Source organism: Homo sapiens, chromosome 8 (genome assembly GCF_000001405.40).
Source record: "Homo sapiens chromosome 8, GRCh38.p14 Primary Assembly".
Taxonomy (NCBI): Eukaryota; Metazoa; Chordata; class Mammalia; order Primates; family Hominidae; genus Homo; species Homo sapiens.
Genome location: NC_000008.11, coordinates 101,077,222 through 101,098,952, shown reverse-complemented (window position 1 = coordinate 101,098,952; position 21,731 = coordinate 101,077,222). Strand labels below are relative to the sequence as shown.

Sequence of the window (21,731 nt, the reverse complement as noted above, 5' to 3'; positions counted from 1 at the left end):
AAGGATTCATTTTAATTCAAAATAAAACCAACCAGCGTGCTTGTAACGTCTTTCTCTGTCCATGTTCAACTGTGGGGTTGGATTGCTGAGATGGGGGAGTCAGACAGCTATGAAATAAACAGAGGGTTGGATTCAACCAGGACTGCAATTTTGTGAGCACCACAAGGCGAGAGAGGGTTGGGGAGTTAATGTGCCTGTGAGGTTACAGATTTGATATGCAGTTACATTGCACTCACCATTCCAATGACTCATGTGTAATATGAGTCATTGTAAGGGTGGTTGACCATGGAATTTATGTTGGGTAAGCGGGAAATGGGGAACATGAGAGTGATGAGAGACACTTAAAATGTGGTAGGATTGGTGACTTTAGGTCACAATCCAGTTGAGGAATAGCGGGAACTGGGGTTCTGGAAGGAGTGGGCAGAGCTGAGAAGTTGGGAGGTGAGTGAAGAAGTTATGAAGGTTTTGCAGTTCTCAGTAACAGGAAGGTCTAGGATCTAGGTGGGAGAGGGGACCAAGGAACGAGAGGACAGGGTGTTAACAGACCATCTCCCATGGATGTTGAAATCACCATGGATGCTGAAGAATTGCAATTGGCACAGTTGAGAGGGTGACGGAGCAGCAGGTACTCAGTGCGGAAACAAAGCAGGGTGATGCTGGGGTTAGTGGATGGCTGCACCTTGATGTGGCCTGAGGACGTGAGCTTCAACTCTGAGAGCTTCAGGTCAGTAAGTCTCATTGGTGACCCTGATGGATAGAGCCCAGGGGTCAGAAAGCCTACTGGTGACAGGCAAGAGCCACACAGTTGCCCCCATAGCCTTCTGGGGCCCCAGATATGCACACGCTCATCACTTGTCCTGCCCTTCCTGAGTTACTCCTTCACCAGCACCTCCAGAGTGCCCAGGGTGAGCCCCAGACGACACGGGACACTGCAGGTCAGACATGAAGACAGAGCCTTTGTCCTGGAGGAGCATGGAGCCTCCCACGCCCACGCCACTCAGCTCCTTCCTGCCCGAACCACTGTCCCCTGCGAGGTCAGCCGCCACCCATCTCAGAGGGTGGGTGGAGGAGGAGCAAAAGCAGCTTCTCTCTCTCTCTCTCTCTCTCTCTCTCTCGTAAAATGCATTCAAGCAATCTAATAGTAGCAGAAATCTATTTAGATTTTGTGCCTCAAATTATTCTGGCTTTCGGGAATATACAATTGCTCATACAATAAAGACTGACTGCCCCCCCCACCGCCCCCTACACACGGCAGGGCTTTGATTATGTGAGTGTACCATGCTTTTCACTCAGACATCCAACAAAAGCGGCATTTGACTGAAAAACAAAAAAACCTGTCAATGTGCTGACAAGTTACAACCATGAGTCAAACAGAGGAGGAGGCAGACCCACTCCCTTCTTTCCCTCACCTTCCAGCCGCTTTACTGGGATCCTGAGAAACAATAGAGGCCACCAGCCCAGCCTCAGGTTGCAGCCAGTCCTGAGGAGAAGCAGCACACTGAGTGTGAGAAGCATGGGCTAGCTCCCCTTGCCAGAGCCATGGCCGATGGACATCGTGTTTTCTGCACATTTTCTGCCTACCCAGAGACCATGGGTGGGAGCCTGTCATTCTGCCACATTCCACTGCCACACACACACACACACACACACACACACACACACACACACACACTCTACTTTATAATCAGGGCGTCAGTGGACCCAGACAGGGTGAGCGGGAAGGGAAAAGACTCCCCCTCAACCTCCCAGTTCTCCAAAGTGCAACCTCCATTCCAGAGACAGTAGAAATATTCAGCTTAACATGGCCAAAGACATGTTAAAAAAATCTTTAGTGGGCAATGTGTAGTGGCCTAAATACAGCCTTGGATATTGAGCTATAGAATTTTTGTGCTTTTTTTTTTCTTTTTTAACTAGAAGGTATCTGAAGCATTATTTGGCCAAACGCCTACCATTTGACAGCTCATGAATGGGACACTTACCAAAGTGAAATGACTTTCCCATTGTTGTATGCATCATAAGGGGGCTGGCTAGGACTTGAACCCACATTTCACTGACTCCTAACTCCCAAACCCATGTGCTCTTCCTCCCCAGCCCTGAGCGATCACCACCCACCCCCACCCGACCACTTGAACATAGACGCTCTCGCAATCTTTCTCTCTCTCTCCACCCCCCACCCCCACACACTCCTCTCACTTCTCTTAGCTGGCCTCAGCATTAAGCATCTTGGCCAGTTTGGATGCAAATCTCACACTCTCCCCAAATGCAAAGCAGGGAGCTAAGCTACAGTTTGGCTCTGTGACCCATAGAGGGTAGCAGGTCCCCCAGAGCAAAGAAGGCTCACTGTGTCAGACCTTCTGGGTTCTGTGGTTAGGCCCTCTCTGGGGTGGGCAGCCATGTAGTCTTTCCTGGTTCCAAAACTTCAGAGGAATTTCCCCTGAATTCTGACCTCGGATTTAGCCAGCATGATCTATGAGAAGAGACAATACTTGGCATCACGCTAGCAGGAGGAAAACTCCTGGTGATGGTTATAGAGTCGACAGGCAGCTTGCAGCAGCAGCACCTCACGCACAGTAGCCTCTACTGTGGGACCAGGCCTCTGCTAAGACATTGGAGAAAGGCACAGTGTGGTCAGCGACAGGTCCCCAGAGATTCTGGCCACCTCCTGTCATTGTAGTTCCCAACCATGAAAATAAAATTATTTTTCTATGATAAGTTTTGAAACGAAACAATGCACTAAGAATCCAAGTGATTTTTGAGACTTTTCCTTTATAAATATATTGATTTCGGGAAAAAATGTGTTCAATAATTTATTTGTTTATTCATCCATTTCACAATATTGAAGGCCTACTATGTGCCCAATATTGGTTTAGTGACTGGGAATATATCAGAGAACAAAACAGACTCTTTGCCTTTCTGGAGTTACATCCTAATAAAAAAAAGAGACAGCAAAGGAAATCTAAAGTGTGCCAGATCGTGCATTCTGTAGAGAAACAATACTGCAGAGAATGGGGATTAGAAGGTGCAAAGGGTGGGGGTAGAGTTCCCATTTTATAAACAGTGGTAAAGGAAGGCTTCGCCCACATGGTGGCATTTGAGCAGAGAAGTGCAGAAAGTGAGACTCCTGGCCACATGAGCATCAGGGGAAGGGTGAGCTGGCAGAGAAAAGGGCATGCAGAGGCCCTGAGGCAGGTCTCAGGAGCAGCAGGAAGTAAGGAGGCTGGAGCTGAGGGAAAGACGGGGAGAGGGCAGAGAAGAGGTCAGAGAAGGAGTGGAGGGTCTGGGTGGGAGGCCAGATTACGTAGGGCCCGGTGGGCCGTTTTATGGGCTTTAGCTTTTAATCTGATTGAGATGGGAAACCGCAGAAGTACTGGAGTGCAGGAGTGGCATGATCTGGGTCCTATTCTAGAAGAGTCACTTTGGATGTCCTGAGAAACGTAGGCTGTAGGAAACAATGACCCAGTAAATATGGGGAAGACCATCCAAGTGTCCCAGTGTGTGGGTCCTACCCTCAGCTTGCCAGCCCTCACCCGAGATCTCCCTCTCTCCTTACTCCTTCCCTCTGAGTTCTCATTCTCTCAGACCCTCCTACTCCCCTCACCCTTCCCCACTCCCCAGCTCTGAGGCCTGTGTCTTCCCCTCAATTTCCATCCTGGGCTGCTTGTTGCTCTTCCCTGGAGGGAGCTGGCAATTTCTTCAGACAGACAGGTTGAAGAGAGCCAGAAGAGGAAGGGGCCCCTCATGGCGCAGCCTCACAGTTAAGCACTGCAAAGCAATCCTACCTTTCATGCTGCCCGGGATGCCCCCTTGCCATAACTCCTGTGAGTAATTATGCTCCGAGTCACGGTCTCTTTCCTCCACCTCAATATGTGCTCCCTGGCTTGCATCTTTGCCTTCACCTTGTAAGCGCCCAGCCTCCAAATGCACCATGCATGCTCTGGAAAGGGTAAGGAGGTCCCCGACTGCTGCACTCGTATGCCCGAGACAAAACTAGGACATTGGAACAAAGCTCTGCTTCAAATCAGAGGAGGCGAAGATGGAGACATTGGGAGAAAATGGAAGGGAGGATGGAGGGACTAGAGTGAGGGTCAGAGCTGGTGCTCGGTAGACAGCTATGCGTCCAACCAGTGTTTACCAGCAAGCGCTCTGTGCCAGGCACTGGGTGGTAGGCGGAGAGATGAGAAAGATCTGGGGAGAAACGTGGCTGTTGACTACCATGGTCATCCAGCTTCTGGGACAGACTGGAAAGTTGGGTAATTTGTGTTGAACCTTCCCCTCTCCCCCTTTTGAGCTCCTTGTTTAACCTTCTCACCCCCTGGCAGCACCAATGTCTGGGCTTCCTCTCCACTCTCAAAACATTTCACTCTTAAAAATCTCTGTTCCTGGAAAACAGTCTGCAATTCCTCAAAAGGTCAAAGGTAGAGTTACCACATGACCCAGCAATTCCACTCCTAGGTACTGTATAGATCCAAGAGTATAGAAAACAGGTATTCCAACAAAAACTGGTGCATGGAAGTTCACAGCAGTTCTATTCCTAAGAGCCAAAATGTGGAAACTACCCAAATGTCCATCAACTGATGAACGGATAAACAAAATGTGATATATCCAAACAATGGAATATTATTCAGCCATAAAAAAGGAAGTACTATACATGCTACAACATGGATGAACTTTGAAAGCAAGATGCTAAGTCAAAGTGAGATGCAAAAGGTCATGTATTATAGGATCCCATTTATATAAAATGGCCAGAATAAGCAAGTCCATAGAGTCAGAAATTAGATATGTGGGCTGTGCACAGTGGCTCACGCCTGTAATCGCAGCTACTCGGGAGGCTGAGGCAGGAGAATCGCTTGAACCCGGGAGGTGGAGGTTGTGGTGAGATGAGATCTGCCATTGCACCCCAGCCTGGGCAACAAGAGCGAAACTCTGTCTCAAAAAAAAAAAAAAAAAAGAAGAAAGAAAGAAAGAAAGAAACTAGATTTGTGGATGCCAGGAACTTTGGAGGGGAGAGGTATAGATAGTTACTGCTTAATGGGTATAAGGTTTCTTTTGGGGTGATGAAAATGTCCTGGAGTTAGAAGTGATGGTTGTGCAACACTGTCAATGTCCTGGAAGTCATTAAATTGTACACTTTAAAATGGTTAAAATAAAACTCTCTTTTCTTCTCTGCCTCATCCAGACTTATCAATCAAAGGAAAAATGTTACCAGACTATGGAGTATTTGCATTTATTAGGGAATTTTTGAAGGCCAAAACGTAGTAAGTTCAGCAGTGTGAATCCTGAATGGAGCCGTTTTAGGCACCTTGAGAAGGGGGAGAGAAGATGATCTGAGGACAAGAGGGTCTGTCCAGTGACCCTCATGTCACACTAGCAGGACAACAGCCCCTCATCCTCTGCAGGGAGTCAGCTCAGGGGGTGTGTGTCAGGCCACCTCATTTTGAATCCTGCCCAACTCCGCCCTGCCTGCTTGTGAGGACTAAATGGCTGGTGCACTGTGGGTTCCTCCTCCAGGGGGTGGGGGGCCATATGGAGATCCAAGCGGGGAACTGGAGGATTCTAGACTCCTTGGTAGCGCCAGTAAGCCTTGGCCTAAGGGTCAATGAGCAGGTGATGTCTACACAGCCAGGCTGAGCCATCTCACTGTGTAAACAGATTAACTCTTAGTTATCCCCGAGCCTTCAGTCACTTCTTGTTTAAACACACTTCTTCTGTGGTCAATTTGGAAAGAGAGAACCCAGTGAAAACTGATCCTGGGAACAAGAGTCAGAGATTCAAGTGAAAATGCCCCCCACCATCTTTGTAGAAAATCTTCCTTTGTAGCAAAGACTGGAAGGTCTGAGCTTTAGTTTTACTTAGAAAAGTAATGATTTTCTCAGAACTCTTGAGCCTAAGCTCTTTCAGCTAATATTTAGAGAAAAAAAAGAAGGAAAGAAAGAAAGAAAGAAAGAGAGAGAGAGAAAGAAAGAAAGAAAGAAAAAGAAAGAAAGAAAGAAAGAAAGAAAGAAAGAAAGAAAGAAAGAAAGAAAGAAAGAAAGAAAGGAAGGAGGGAGGGAGGGAGGAAGGGAAGGAAAGAAAGAAAGAAGGAAAGAAAGAAAGAAAGAAGAAAGAAGGAAGGAAGAGAGAGAGGAAGGAAGGAAGAAGGGAGGGAAGGAAGGAAGGAAGGGAAGGAAGGAAGGAAAGAAAGAAAGGAGAGAGAGAGAGAAAGAAGAAGGAAGGAAGGAAGGAGAAAAAAAGAAAGGAAGAAAGGAAGGAAGGAAAAAGAAAGGAAAGGAAAAAAAAGGAAAGAAAAGAAAAGAGAGAAACGGCCTTCTTAGGTATTTCCACAAACCAGTGCTTGCCTTCCTGTGATTCACAGCCAGGTGCTGCAGCTGTGAGGAAGGAGGATGGGAAGGGGGCAGGAAGGAAAGGGAAGGATGATCTCAGCCATATCCCTGTCCATGCAGCTCCGCACCACCAATGGCAACCAACTTCCCTGGTGAGGTCTGGGGGATCCCAGTGTAGGATCCTCCATCGGGCCTGCTCGCACACCGCCAAGGCTGCTCAGAATGAACGGCTGGCCGTGGGGATTCAGGAACAGCAGAGCCAGGCCAAGGGCTATGGTGGGCAGTCTTTCTTGTCTGTCAAGACAAGCATCAAGGGAGGATAGGTTGGGAGCTGAGAACACAGAGCTGTGGCACAGGGACAGTGGAGGCAGATGGTCACTGTCTCCCTCCCACCTGGCTTCTCTGTGAAGGACGCTCTAGACACAAGTCTTGGCGTCCACCTCCAAGAGCCAAGTGGGGAAGGCAATGAAGAGCCCAGGGCCCCATGTCAGGAAGTGTGGATTCTGCGGCAGACTCCAGGACCTGCGGAGCTCAGGGAAAGGAGCTCGGTGTGGCCCGAGAAGGCTTCGTGGAGGGCTGCTTTGAGGGAGGAGGGTTGCGGGAGGAAAGGACTTTGGCTGGGTCTGCAAAGAAGATAAATATATTAACAGGTGAAAAGAAGGGGGAGCTCAGAATGTGAGGACCGTGAAGCTTAACTCTCAGTCAGCAAAAGCCACTGGATTTTGACAAGAGGATGGGGAGAAGGCAGTAATGTGAGAGTTGGGGGAGAAGGCAGTAACTGATGGCAGAATGTAAGGACATAGACTGGCCTCTGTGTCAAGGACAGATGGGGGCACTGAAGGTGGGGACAGGTCGAAAGACAGGGGCAGGATGGTGGCTGAAGCGAGATGTGTGATGGCAGCATGTTTAAGGTGACAGGGCTGATGTGGGGGCCAGGAAGGGAAGAGTCGCTGACCCTGGTTGAATGAGGATCTCCTGACGTTCCCGGCACAGGGCTGCCATGGGGTGTGACGAGAGCCAGCATGAGAAACAGATTCTCACCACAACAGGCCTGTCCCTGAGAACAGAGTCAGGTTTACGCTTCCTAAGGATTGGCTTCCTTCTTCCTCCTCCAACACAGCCTGCCCTTCCTCCTCCATTTGCTTTTGGGACTTGGTGCCATCGCCTGCACAGAAACTTGGGCCAGAAAGCTGGGAGTGGCTCTAGCCCACCGACCCCTCCCCATCTCATATCCCAGCCATATCCAGGCCATACCCTCATCTCCACAGCCACCGGCTCTGCGCTGCTTCTGCTCCCATACTCCCCACTGTGCCTCCTTCTGACCTCCCTCCCATTTGTCTGTCCTGTTGCCACCAGAGAGATCTTTCCATGATGCAAACCATGTCATGTCATTCTCAGGCTTAAGCCCCCTCGGGTGGACACTTGAATCAACTGCGATCTGCCGTCAGGCCTTTTTCCTCCTCTCTCGCCTCCCAGGAGCGTGTCTGTCTCCTCTCCCCACCTGGAAATGGCCAGTTGTCCTCTACAGATACTGGCAGTATTTTGAGGGGAAAGTATCAGCAGGAAATCTAAACTGCACACTCACAGATCACACTCCCCGTGCAGCCTCACAACTTAGGTGACTCACAGGCGCCTCAGACCTAACATGCCCAAAGCCAAGCCCTTCATTCCTTACTCCTACACTCTGTCCGGAGCCTGCCCCTCCTCTAGGTAAATGGCACCCCCACCCAGAAGTTCAAATAAGAACCCTGATTCCTCCCTTTCTCTCTTCACACCCCTACATCCAAACCATATTCCCATCTCACATTTCCCAATTCTCTCCATCCCCACTGTCCCCACCATGCCTAAGCCACCACTGTCTCCAGCCTGGACACTGAGATAGCTTAGTGACTAGTCCCCTGGCTTCCATACGCACTTATTGTCCACAGCCAAGACTTTTTTATTCTTTTGCATCTTACATTTTATTTCCTTTTTGAGCCAGTGACAAATTTACATGGAATAAAATTCAAATAGTGATAAGGGCCTAGTATCCAGATTATATAGAGAACTCTGACAACAAAAAGACAAGCAAGCCAACTAAAAAAAATGGGCAAAAGACCCGAATAGACATTTCTCCAAAGAAGACATACGAATGTACAATAAGCATAGGAAAAGATGCTCAAGGCCACTAATCATAAGGGAAATGCAACTCAGAACCATGAGATACCATCTCCTACCCATTAGGACGTCCACTATCCAAAAACCAAACAACAAATAGCAAGTGTTGGTGAGGATGTGGAGAAATCGGAACCTTGATAGGAGTGTAGAACAATGCAGCCGCTTTGGAAAATAGTTCAGCATTTCCTCTAAAAGTTAAGCATGAAATTACCATATGATCCAGCAATTCCACTTCTAGGTATATAGCCAAAGGAATTGAAAGTGAGTATTCAAACAAATACACAGACATGCATATTCCTAGCAGCGCTAATCCACATAGCCATAAGGTGGAAATAGCTTAGATGTCCATCAATGAATTAATGGATGCACAAATTGGGATGTATTCATACAGTGGAATATTATTCAGCCATAAAAAGAAATGAAGTACCAATATATGCTACAATATGAATGAACCCTGAAAGCATTATGCTAAGTGAAAGAGGCCGGATGAAACAGGTGAGGTATTGTATGATTCCATTTATATGAAATACCCAGAATAGGCAAATCCACAGAAATGGAAAGCAGATTGGTGGTTGCCAGCATTTGAGGGAGGGAGGGAGAAGAGGGAATGGGGAGTCATTGCTTGGTGGGTATAGGGTTTCATTTTGAGGTGATGAAAAGGTTTTGGAACTGACAGAGGTGGTGGTTGCATGACATTGTGAACACACTAAATGCCACTCAATTAAATGTTGAAAAAAAATTCAAATAGTGGGGAGGAGGACATGGTGAAAAGTCCGCCTCCCACTTCTGTGGTCCGGCCACCCAGTTCCTCTCTTCCGGAGTAGTTGGTATGTAGTGTTGTACCTTACATCCTTCCTGAGGGGCTCCGTGCATATAAATCTGTGGCAGCCATGGAGGGGTAGCACAGACTTGTCTTCAACAGAGAACCTACAGTGAGGAGTGTCAGCTGACAGCCTCTGGCTGCTGCACTTAGGAACCCACCACAGTGGTCATACTGAGGCCACATTCTCCCCAGGTTTCTCCCAGCCAATGACAACCCAGCGGAAGGCCTTGAGCAGGGCCAGTTCTGCCTGACACAAGGCTCTTTTAATGGTACTCTTGGCTCTATGGCTGAGATCTTCTCTAGAGCTGCACTGCAGTCTGAGGCTCTTCCTACCCCATCCTCCTTCCTTCTCCCAATCCTTTTCCAGGCTTCAGACCAGCCTTGGGATTTAACAGCTCTTCCTGCCCTACTGCTTGCCCCCTCTCCCCTGTTTCCTGCATGGTCATTTCCCCCAATAAATCTTTTGCATTTCTAATTCCAACCCAGTGTCTGCTTCTTCGAGGACCCAGTAGACACACAAGCAAACTCACACATCCTATACTTATACAAATGATATATACGCTATACAAGTGGTTTTAAAAATTGACTATATGTATATCTCAGAGACTGACTAGTATCAGTACATAAAGAACTCACTCAATCCCTACAGCTGCACAGCAGCACGTTGTGTGGATAAACAATGTATGTTTATCCAAATCCTCATTGGTTGATATTGTTAGATTTAGTCCTTCATTGATATTTAGGTCTTTTCCAATCTTTTGTAGTTATACACAATGTTGCAATGAGTAACCTTCCATATATTGATTTTAAAACATACACATGCAGGATAAATTCATGAAAGAAAAGTTGCTGGGTCTAAGGGTATGTGCATTTTTTATTCTGATAAATACTGCCACATTTCTCCCCTTAGGGTCAGTATCAGTTTATACTTCCACAGCAATAGATGAGTCAGTCTGTTTCCCACATCTTTGTGTGTTTCAAACTTTAATCTTTGCCATTCTGATGGGTGGGGAGACATTGTTTTCAAAACAGAAGTCAAATCATGTCACTCTCTTGCTTGAAATTCCTCAGGGGCTTTTCATCTATCCCATAACATCCTATTTCCCCGTCCATGCCCACACCTTGCTCTCCAACTCACCTTTTGCCTCCTCCATTGAATATTTGCTTTTTCCTTAAACACACCAAGTTCATCCCCAACTCAGGGCCGGCACACAAGCTGCCCTGCCACCTGGAATGCATCTCTAAACTCTTCAATGGTGCCTCATTACAGAGGGCTCCTGGAACACCTTTAAAACTCAATATCCATATTGTGCCTTATTACCACAGACTGTCAATTGCCTTGCATCATTTACCACAATTAGAAATCGCTCATATGGTTTTCTTTCCCACTAGATTTTCACAGTGTCTAGCTCATCTTGAGTGCTCAATAAGAACTTGCTAAAAAAAAAGTATGAATAAATAAATGACTGAATACATCTCCCTGGACTTGCAATGACATCAAGCTTTTCCCATATTCTCTCGAATTCCATTGTCTGTCCACAAATACCTTGTGCTTCTAAAGCTGTAAGATGCATTATCCTCCCAGGTGGTTACATTTTTTAGTAGTTTTCAGCCAGCTAATACACTTTGGGATCCTTCTGAAGGCAAAATATGACTCACAGGTAGGTCACAGCTGACACAGGTGTGTCTACTGAAGCAGATTAGAGGCCCGTCAAAGATTTTCTATAGTTGCCATAGCAGAGCTCAGGCTGCAACATGCCGTCTCAGGAAAAAGGAGACAGGTTCCTGGTCTCACCTGGGCTAATAAAATTTTTCAGGTAGATCCACTGCTTCACACAGAGTTTTAAGCCAAGAATCAAAGCAAGATGCAAATGGAAGATCTTCAAGGTTACACTTCCCATGGGAAACATACAGCACCTGAGTTTATCACATCAGTGTTATGAGTTGAATTGTGTATCCCCCCCTCCAAATTTATATGCTGAAGTTCTAACCCCCAGTGCTTCAGAATAAGACTTTATTTAAAGAAAATAGTCAGCCGGGTGCGGTGGCTCATGCCTGTAATCTTAATACTTTAGGAGACTGAGGCGGGAGGATCGCTTGAGCCCAGAAGTTCGAGCCCAGCCTAGGCAACATAGGGACACCTCAACTGTACAAACATAGAAAATAAAAAAATTAGCTGGATGTCGTGGTGTGTGCTTGTAGTCCCAGCTACTCGGGAAGATGAGGTAGGAGGATTGCTTGAGCCCAGGAGGTTGAGGCTGCAGTGAGTCATGATCACGCCACTGCTCTTCAGCCTGGGTGACTGAGTGAGACCCTGAAGAAAAGGAAGGAAAGAAGAAAGAAAGAGAGAAAAGGAAGGAAGGAAGGAAGGGAGGGAGGGAGGGAGGGAGGGAGGAGGGAGGGAGGGAGGGAGGGAAAATAGTCCTTGCAGATGCAATTAGTTTAGTTAAGACAAAAATGAAGTCGTACTGAGGCAGGGTGAGCCCTAATCCAATAGGAGTGCTATCTCTATAAAAAGAGGACATTTGGACATAGACAAACACAGGGAGGACATCATGTGAAGATGAAGGCAGAGATCCACTAGCCAAGAAATGGCAAAGATTGCCAGTGAGCCACCAGAAGCTAGGGGAAAGCATGGGACAGGTTCTTTCTCACAGTCCTCAGAAAGAACCAACCCTGCTGACACCTTGATCATGAACTCCTAGCCTCCAGAACTGAGAGACAATACATCTCTGTTGTTTAAGCCACTCAGTGTGTGGTACATTGTTATGGCAGCCCTAGCAAACTCACACAACCAGCAATCATGCTAGGCCAACGTGGACAACTGTATCCTGCATGCCAAAGGTAAATGTGTCCATTTGCCACCTAAATAACCTCAATCACAGTTGTTTCCTTGTTGAAGTGGTGGAAAGAATGTGGGACTTGCACTGGGGGGTCCTGGCACATCCCCTCTCTGGCTCAGTGAAGTTAGGGGGTTAGACTAGATGATCTCCCAGCTTCCTCCCACATCAACACCCTTTCCCCCCATGGGCATAGTTACAACAGTTTCCACCAGGCTTAGAGAGAGGAGAGCCAAAGAGGTTTCAACCAGCAATTTAGATCTCAGGGGGAGGGCAGGGAGATGCCCTGCAGTCGAACTTTGGTAACTATACCCTACATGCTTTTCCTTTCTATCCTTCCCTGCTAACAGAACCTCTCTGTTGGCCAGGCTCCACGGTTAATGCCTGTAATCCCAGCACATTGGGAGGCCAAGGTGGGAGGATCACTTGAGCCCAGAGGTTTGCAATTAGCCTGGGCAATACAGTGAAACTCCATCTCTACAAAAAATACAAAAAAAATAGGTGAGGTGGTGCATGCCTGTGGTCTCAGCTACTAGGGAGCCTGAGGTGGGAGGATCACTTGAGCCTGGGAGGCAGAGGCTGCAGTGAGCTGTAATTGTGCCACTGCACTCCAGCCTGGGTGACAGAGTGAGACCCTGTCTTCAAAAAACAAACAAACAACAACAACAACAAAACCCTCTGTCTTTTCCACCTGGAGGTTTTCAATTCAGTTTTAAACCAGCTCAAGGTGGTTTTGTCTACTTAAGAGACTTCACCTGGGGATGTTACCGTTAGAAGTCGTTGGAAAAATATGAGGGCATTTTTAGCTATCACAATGGTATGGGGGAAGAGACGTTGTATTTGTGGACAAGGAATGCTGGAAGTCCTACAGGGTGCAGAGAAGTTCTGCAAAATAAAAATTGTCCCATATGTGTCTGCTGAGAACCACTTATAGGATGGTGTTCAGGAAAGAATATGGACCTTGGTGTCAGATGATGTTCTAGTTATCTGTTGCTGCATAACAAATCCCCCGAAACACAGTGGCTTCAAACAATCTTCCTATCATCTCACTGTGCTGTGGGTGGGCAGCTGAACTGGGTGACTCCACTTGGGGTCTCACATGTAGTTTAGTCAGTGACTGAGGCTGGAGTGAGCCAAAGGCTCAGCTGGGGTGAGTGTCCAAGATGGCCACTTTCTTATGTGGTTGGCAGTGGACCCTGGCCCAGCAGGAATGTAGATTGGAGTGCCCATATGGCCTCTACACATGGCTTTGGCTTCTCCCAGGATAGCAGCTCATTTCCAAAAGACAATGTTCTGGGGGAACATTCCACAAGAACAAAGCAAGAACTGCAAGGCTTCTGATAACTTGCCTTAGAAGTCCCCGGCATCACTGCTACTCTGTTGTATTGGTCAATGCTGTCATGAGAACTTCCCGGATTCCAGGGGGTGGAGAAACAGACTCCACTTTTTGATGAAGGGGTAGGAGAAGAGCATGAGGGATGGGTCCATCTTTGAAAAGATAATCTGCCATGGAGGACCTGGTATTAGGTCCTGCCTCTACCACCTACTACATCAGAGACGTCTATGAAATCCTGAATCTGTCTATGTCTTGGTGTTTGCTTTTGAAAATAGGGAATAGCATGGTGTCTAACTTGCCAGGGTGCCTTGAAAACCTGTGGTAGCCATTGCTAGTTGTTATTGTTGGCATTTTCCCAGGAGGAATGGCAGTCCCAGTTCCAGAAATTCTCCTATTGGCATGCACATGTCTGTCACTTTGTATTTGCTGACTTGATGATTGAGGAATTTGAAAATCACCCCAGAGGTGTACTGGGGAGGTAAAGCCATCATTTGACCAATGCAGGTCCAGCCTTCTTGCCTTAACTGGATGTTTAATTTTTATTTATATTCTATGAAAATACTGGCAGGGACTAGGCACGGTGGCTCACACCTGTAATTCCAACACTTTGGGAGGCCGAGGCAGGCGGATCACGAGGTCAGGAGATCAAGACCATCCTGGCTAACATGGTGAAACCCCATCTCTACTAAAAAATACAAAAAAATTAGCCGGGCTTGGTGGCGGGCGCCTTAGTCACAGCTACTCGGGAGGTTGAGGCAGGAGAATGGCATGAACCCGGGAGGCGGAGCTTGCAGTGAGCCGAGATCACATCATGGCACTCCAGCCTGGGCAACAGAGCGAGACTTCATCTCAAAAAAAAAAAAAAAAAATTGGCAGGGCGTGGTGCCTCACACCTGTAATCTCAGCAATTTGGGAGGCCATGGTAGGCAGATCACTTGAGATCAGGAATTTGAGACCAGCTTTGCCAACATGGCAAAACCCCCTCTCTACTAAAAATACAAAGATTAGCTGGGAGTGGTAGTGCATGCCTGTAGTCCCAGCTACTAGGGAGGCTGAGTGAGGCAGGAGAATTTCTTGAACCCAGGGGGCAGAGGTTGCAGTGAGCCGAGATTGCGCCACTGCACTCCAGCCTGGGCGACAGAGCGAGACTCCGTCTCAAAAAATAAAAAAATTAAGAACAAAATACATGTAGAAGTCCCTTGACTACCTTCCTACCCCATCTTCCTTTTGTTCCCCAGAAGCAACATTCATAGATTTTTATATATATATTTACATTTATATTTTTAGATAGCAGGCAAATACTCCTCTCTCTTGATTCACTTATTTCCCACTATAGTAAGTGAATGTTTTAGATGACTTACTCCTCCCCTTCCTTCACTTTCTTTCTTTCCAATTGTGTATCAATTTTTTGTTAAATCTACATGTAGCATTTTCATTATTATGATAATGTAAAGTAAACATTGTTCACTGCTGAGCCAAGTAGTGAAATGATAGTACATTTCTTTTTCTCCACATTTTCTTCTTCCTGGAGTTGATAATTCCTTCACATTTTTCTTTTGCTTTGTTTTCTCTAAACATCTGAGTCTTTCCATATTTCTGAGAAGTCTGCAAATCAACACTTTATACAATTTTTGACATCTCAAACCTGGCTACAATCATTCCATTGTTTCCCTGGAGAAATTCTTCCCAGAGCCCTGCAACACTCTGCTGACCTGGACCGGCTGGTCCCAGGGCCTGTCCATAGCTTCATCTTGGAACCTCCCTGTGCCTCTCCCCTTTGTTAGATTAGAAGCCTTCTGGCCAGGTGAGGTGGCTCAGGCCGGTAATCCCAGCATCTTGGGAGGCCAAGATGGGCGGATCACATGAGGTCAGGAGTTTAAGACCAGACTGGCCAACATGGTGAAACCCCATCTTTACTAAAAATACAAATAATTAGCCCAGCGTGGTGGCGGGCACCTGTAGTCCCACCTACTCGGGAGGCTGAGGCAGGAGAATCCCTTGAACCAGGAAGGCGGAGGTTGCAGTGAGCCAAGATCATGCCACTGTACTCCAGCCTGGCGACAGAGCTAGACTCTGTTTCAAAAAACAAAACAAACAAACAAAAAGATTAGAAGCCTTCTTTTTTCGTGGTAGAGCATCTTCCAGTAGCTTCCCAATAAAGGATACGCTGGATATAAATGTTTTTGTATTTTGCATTTAATTTTTTTTGTATTTTGCAAATGTCTTTATGGATTGGCAATGACTGATACTATCAATCATATTTGATTGATAGTGTGGCTGAAATAGAATTTTAGGCCAAAAATAAATATCCCTAGGGATATTGCAGGCATTTTTCTGATGTACTCTAGCTTCCCATGTTGCTATCGGGAAGTCCAGTGTCATTCCAATTCTTGATCCTTTCTATGTAAGCGTTTTAGTTCTCTTTTTGAAAATTCTTATGATCTTCTTTCCATCTCTAGTTCTGCAATATCCCAACAGTGTATCTTGGTACGGGGCTGTTGTCAGCTATTACCTTGGGCATTTGGAGCATTTCAGTTGAAGATTTGTGTTCTTCTACGGCTTTTTTTTTTTTTTTTTTGGTATTTTTTTCTAAATAATTTTCTTACCACCATGTTGTCTGTTCTGTCTTTCTAAAACTACCTATTGGATATTGAACCTCCTGAATTGCTCTTGTGATTTCTTATCTTTTTTTCTCCTATTGCCCTTCTTTGCTTTACTTTCAGGGAAATTTCCTTAACTTTATCTTCCAACACTGCTATAGAATTTTTGAAATTTTAGATCTCATATTTTTAACTTCCTGGAACTCCTTCTTGCCCTGCTTGTTCCTTTTTCACCACATCCTGTGGATATAACATCTTCCCTTATACCTCTAAAGATATTAATTATAATTTATCTTCAGCTTCTCCTGCTTTTTCATTGTTCTGCTGCCTTCATTAGATGCTTTTGTTTTTCTGTTTGATTATTTTATTCTCTGTGATATTGGACAGTTTCTTCAGTGATGACCCCTGACTGCCCCTCAAATTTAAGGAGGCCCTGAAGAGCTGAGAGCTGATTGGAAGTGCTGAGAGCTGATTGGAAGTTCTGTGTACGTGGATAGTATTTTATTCCAGGGTGATCAGATAGATAATGGGCATTTTTGCTAGGAGCCTCCAAATGTCTCTCTCTCTCTCTCTCTCTCTCTCTCTCTCTCTCTCTCTCTATATATATATATATATATATATACACCTGCTATGTACCCACAATAAAACATTTTTTAAAATGTCAATGTATGTAAGTCTTTTTTTTTTTTTTTTTTAAGTGGGTCCGGTTTTTGCAGAAAAGAAATCCTTCAATCTCCTGCCCCTGTTGTTCTAAGGCTAGGTCAGGGAAGCACTCACTCATTGTGCAAACTCACCCCATCGCAGCCTCCCTCTGAACCTGGTATTATTAGCACGAAGTCTCTGGTCCAATTTCTCTAGAAAATAAACTTCCTCTCCTGCAGAAGTGGGTAGGGCTTGAGACCTGCAAGTCTGTCTGCCTGTTGTAAATACTTGTAAACACTTCTAAATAATGCCTCTGTGTTCACCTTACTCCCTTCCACAGCAGCTAATGCCCCAGTCCTTGAGACCTAGCAAGGTTCTATGGGCCATAGCAACTGGCCTCTCTGATGTAGGCCACCCCTGTTCCTAGGCACTCAGCTTGGACCTCCCTTCTTCTCTGCTCATGCCTTCACCTTCCACCATCTTCCTATACTGTGGTTCTGGGTCACACAGTCTCCCAGCAGAGATGAGACTTTCGACGAGAGGGTAGAAATTGCTGTACCCCACCATCTTGAAATTCACACTCCAAGGAGTCTTTCAATTGGTGTTGGGGAAAACTGCCTTTTGTGCCACCCTCAAATCAGCAAACACTTGTGGAGCATCTCAAAGGGCTCTGAACTCCGTAATAACAACAACAATAAGCATTTGGTAGCACCTGCTACGTGCCAAATATTTTGCATGCATTATCTTTAATCCTCATCCCAATCTACCAAGGGGGGATTATCCGTATTTTACAGATGAGGAGACTGAGGCCCAGCAAGGTAAAATTGTTTGTCCCACTTTATCCCTTTGATAAGTGCCAGAATTTGAATCCAGGTCTTTCTGGCCCCAAGTTGCCTATGGCAACCAAAGCCTTCCACGTCTACCTCCAGTCACTCAGTGGGTGGCCTTCCTCAAATCTTGGTTCATCAGTCATGTCCAACACACCGGTATGCATCCGTGCTTAAAAAGGGAAGCCAGGCAAAATAAGCTTCCTTGGTATGCCTGTGGCCCCGTTTCCTGGTCTCATCCTGCCGTCTTTCAAGGTGAGCCTTCCAGGTAAGGGGGCTGGGCCTGGAATCCGCAACATGCAGTCAGGAGCTGATTTTCAAAGAACCCGGTGCAGCAGGAAGACCAAGGAGACAGCCGCCTCCCCTGCTCGACTCCTGCTGACTGTGGAACTGAGCGGGAGCCGCGTAGCCATGGTGACGGTGGCAGTCGGCTGACAGCCCGGGAGGGGGTCGGGGAGAGGGAAGAGGGAGCGAGAAGCCGGGCGGAGGCCTCCTGCCGGGGATGGGCAAACGGGTTTCTGGAAGCCGCTCGTGGGGGAGGGGCGCGTGGGGAGACAGCGCTCCCCTCCCCGCGAAGCCCGGCGCCCTGCCGCGCCGCCCACCTGCCTTCTCGGCCTCCTCCCCTGACTCACCACGCAGGTGGGTGACTCACAGCACCTGCGGTGTAAGCGAGGCCGAGGCGGGCAGGGAAGCCTCCCGCTGGGGCGCTTGGCCTCCGGAGTAGGGAGGGGAGAGAAGGTGACGCTGAGGGTGACTCTTCTGCCTTCTGTCCCTGTCCCTTCCCCCAGCTCCACCATCTCCTCGCCCACGTCCCCCCCCCGCCCCGGGACGCCCTTATCCGTGGACACTGCTTGACAAGGAGGGCGGAGGGGCCCCAGCCCATCACTTGCACTGTACTGGGCGCCCCAAGACCTGAAGGCCACTCCTACTCCAGTCTCTCGCCGGCTTCCCCAGGCTCCCAGCATAAACACGAACTTGACCCGTGGCTGTGGCCCAGGTGCTCTGCACTGGCCTCCCCCCACATCCTGTCTCCTGCCTGGTCCCCTGACCTCTCTGCCCTGGGCCACACTGGTGGCCTTCCCATTTCCTGAGCTCTCCCTCACAGCCATTGCCCAGGCCCTCTCCTCTACCTGGGATGCCGTCACTTCCATCCCGCGTTTGCCCCTTCTGGTATCAGCCCAAACATCACTTTTCCAGGACAGCCTGTCCTGTTCCCACCCCACCCAGGCGGGTAACTTCAGTCACTCCAGTCACTCCACCCCGCAGGACCCAGAAACTCTTTGTAGCATTCCTCACAGCTGCCATGTCTTGGCAAGAGGCCTCTCCTCCCCACTGGACTGGAAGGGCCAGGAGGGCAGAGCCAGGCCTCCTCTCTGTACCTTGGATTCCCCGAATTTTGCACAATGTCTGGCAGAAGATCCTCACTCAAAAAATGTTGGAAGGGAGGAAAGGAAAGAGGGAAGGAAGGAGGGAGGGAGAGAGGGAAAGAGGAAGAGAGGGAGAAAGGAGACATCATTTTGCCCTTCTGGGCAAGGAGCTGATGGAGTGCGCTGCCTTGCACCTGCCCCAGCTGGGAGGTAGAAACCAAAGTGATGCTTCCCCTCCCCTGCTGCTCTTCCAGCTGACCAGGGGCCAGGATGATGGTGAAAATACTATGAGTATTAAGAGGTGTGGGCTTCTCAAATTAAATGATCATTTGTTCTGCTTTCAAAAATGCATTTCACAAAGGTGGGAGCAGCTAGTACTGCTAGCATGAAAGGAAGTGTTCTTGAGCCCCCTGCCTTGTGTGGGGGACCTGCCATCTGGCTCACATTCAGAGCGTTTGCTTTCTTTCCTGCAAGCACTGGCCCTGATTCTCATGTCCCCCCCAGCTGTCTGGTTTCCTCAAAGTCATGTGCCCCTAAAGGCCATAGGAAAAGAGCTTGTGGAAAAGACACTGAGCCCTTACTGGGGCTATATTCCCCAAAGGCAGGAGGCTGGGTTTCTAGCTGGAGGGTATGGGGCAGAGTGGAGTTTAGAAGGCCCTTCCCTGAAGAGGCTAGAGAAGCCGGTTCCTGCTCAGCCCTGCAATCCCAGCCCAGTCCTTGCAAGGGGCTCCAGGGAGTGAGTCAAATCTGATAAACCCAGCCAGGATAAGATAGAAGGAAGGTTGTTTACACACCGGCCCTTCAATACCAGGTGGGGCTGCTGTTTTGGAGGCCAAAGAACATCCATTGGAATAGGAGAAGTCCTGTTAGAAACCAGACGAAGACAGAGGAGCCCAACTGTCATTTTCTTGAATTTATTTTATTATTTTTATTTTTGATTTTTCAAAATGGGTTTTGCTCTGTTGCCCAGGCTGGAGTGCAGTGTTGCAATCAAGGCTCACTGCAGCTTCGACCTCCCAGACTCATGAGATCTTCCTGCCTCAGCCCCCTGAGTAGCTGGGACCACAGGTGCATGCCACAACACCCAGCTAATTTTATTTTATTTTGTTGTTTTGTAGACGGGGGTCTCACTGTGTTGTCCAGGCTAGTCTCAAACTCCTGGACTCGAGCTATCTTCCTGCCTTGGCCTCTCAAAGTGCTAGGATTACAGGCATGAGCTACCACACCCGGCCTTGAATTTATTTTAAATGGGCTCTGAGTCAGTCCTACCAGAGAAAGGTGTCTAAATGTATAATGCAAGTTAAATGCATTCTCTAGCCATGTGACTTAGTAAAGCATTTTACTTCTCTGCTTCATAAACCACCCTGAAGCCAACTCAGATTATCCATTGAGACTCCTTTAATAAACATGTATGGAGTGAATTAATGAAATAATGTCTGCTCTCATGAACTTGAGAATCAAAAAGCTGAGTTTTAAGTCTTGATTCTAGCATTTTCTGACTTCCCATCTCTATAAAATGGAGTCTACACATAGGATCGTCCCCAGCATGGCACCTGATTCCTAGAAGGAGGGAGCTGGCTAAAGGTCAGTCACTGTGCCACACCTTTCCCCACTTCCCAGTGGGCGTTAGGAGGGCTGTTGCAGGTGTTTAGAGACTGGTACATTGTGTGTGCCTCTGAAAGAAAACACCTGGCTTGTTGAGAATGATCCGGGAAAGCAGAAGATGTTGCTCCTTTACCCAAGACTTTGTTGCTGGGCCTTGAGTGCTTCAGCCTCTGACTCACAGAGCACTTCAATGTGAAACCGTGGCTCAGATAAAGCAACATTGGTTCTGGTAGAGGCAGAGGGATCGGGGAGCCCGTGAGCAGAGGAGAGGATCACAGAACAGAAAGGGGAGTACCCTGCTCATCGGCCAGCCCTAGAAACAATTATTAAACAAAGTCCCATAAAACCGCAGAGTCGAGATTAGAAGGACCTTGGCGGTGACTTGCTCCAGCCTCCTGTTTAATATAAAAGGAAGCAGGTTCAGAGAGTGAGGTGAACCTCCTAGGATTATCCAGACAGCAGGTGGTGGAGCCGGGACAAGTGCCCAGTTCTCCTGCCACCAGGGAAAGCTTGCCTTGGGACCTTGATCTGCCCATTGTAAGCTCATTCTGTGCCATAGGGCACTGCTCATTCCTGCCAAGGGTTAACAGAGAACAGAGATGGAAGGGTCAGTTCTAACTCTTCAGGTTCGGTTTAATTAGTATGTTTCTTTGTTTTTAATATTAGCCAGATATAATCATTCATTTATAGACCTCTTGAGACTCAGCCAATGTGCCAAAGGTCTTGATGACATTGCCAATAGATATTGTGATCTGAAGGAATTCCACGGTCTCCCAGGACTGAGCACGTAGCATCCCATACATCTCCACCCCTGCCTCCCTGCAAAGGCCCAAGGAGGGGATCTCTCACATGACTGAGGGGCAGTGGCAAGCTTAAGTCTCCCGGGAATGCCCTGAAACAAACCACTATCCAGTGAAACTGTGGAGGAAGAAGAGTAAGGCTGGGCAGACCAGGGAGGGACCCACAGGGTTAGGGTTCTCTGTCCCCTAGAGTGGGAGCAGGACCCTCTGGGTTCCCCTAGCCCCATGATATAAATCCATGGAAAATTTGTATTTTGGGGGTCCTAAAAGAGATGATATGGCCTCCAAGGAAGTAACCTCCAGCCCAGGGTCAGAGAAAGGGTACCGTTACCCCACCCGAGGGTTACACCACTATCCAGGGCTTCTAAGACCCCAGAAAGTGCCAAGGGTAAGGGGTGGCAAGGAGGCAAGGAC

At 47.7% G+C, this 21,731-nt stretch overlaps 4 annotated features.

Annotated features, from left to right (window-relative positions):
- Positions 449-976: an enhancer, noted in NCBI's record as "H3K4me1 hESC enhancer chr8:102110205-102110732 (GRCh37/hg19 assembly coordinates)". NCBI's record gives its function as "activates a minimal SCP1, AML or CMV promoter by ChIP-STARR-seq in naive H9 embryonic stem cells {active_cell/tissue: H9 hESC(naive)}" and the evidence as "EXISTENCE:reporter gene assay evidence [ECO:0000049][PMID:30033119]".
- Positions 977-1,506: an enhancer, noted in NCBI's record as "H3K4me1 hESC enhancer chr8:102109675-102110204 (GRCh37/hg19 assembly coordinates)". NCBI's record gives its function as "activates a minimal SCP1, AML or CMV promoter by ChIP-STARR-seq in naive H9 embryonic stem cells {active_cell/tissue: H9 hESC(naive)}" and the evidence as "EXISTENCE:reporter gene assay evidence [ECO:0000049][PMID:30033119]".
- Positions 2,113-2,162: a silencer, noted in NCBI's record as "silent region_19429". NCBI's record gives its function as "represses an Ori minimal core promoter by ATAC-STARR-seq in GM12878 lymphoblastoid cells {active_cell/tissue: GM12878}" and the evidence as "EXISTENCE:reporter gene assay evidence [ECO:0000049][PMID:35858748]".
- Positions 7,758-8,052: an enhancer, noted in NCBI's record as "tiled region #4389; K562 Activating DNase matched - State 5:Enh". NCBI's record gives its function as "activates a minimal TATA promoter and a strong SV40 promoter by Sharpr-MPRA in K562 cells {active_cell/tissue: K562}" and the evidence as "EXISTENCE:reporter gene assay evidence [ECO:0000049][PMID:27701403]".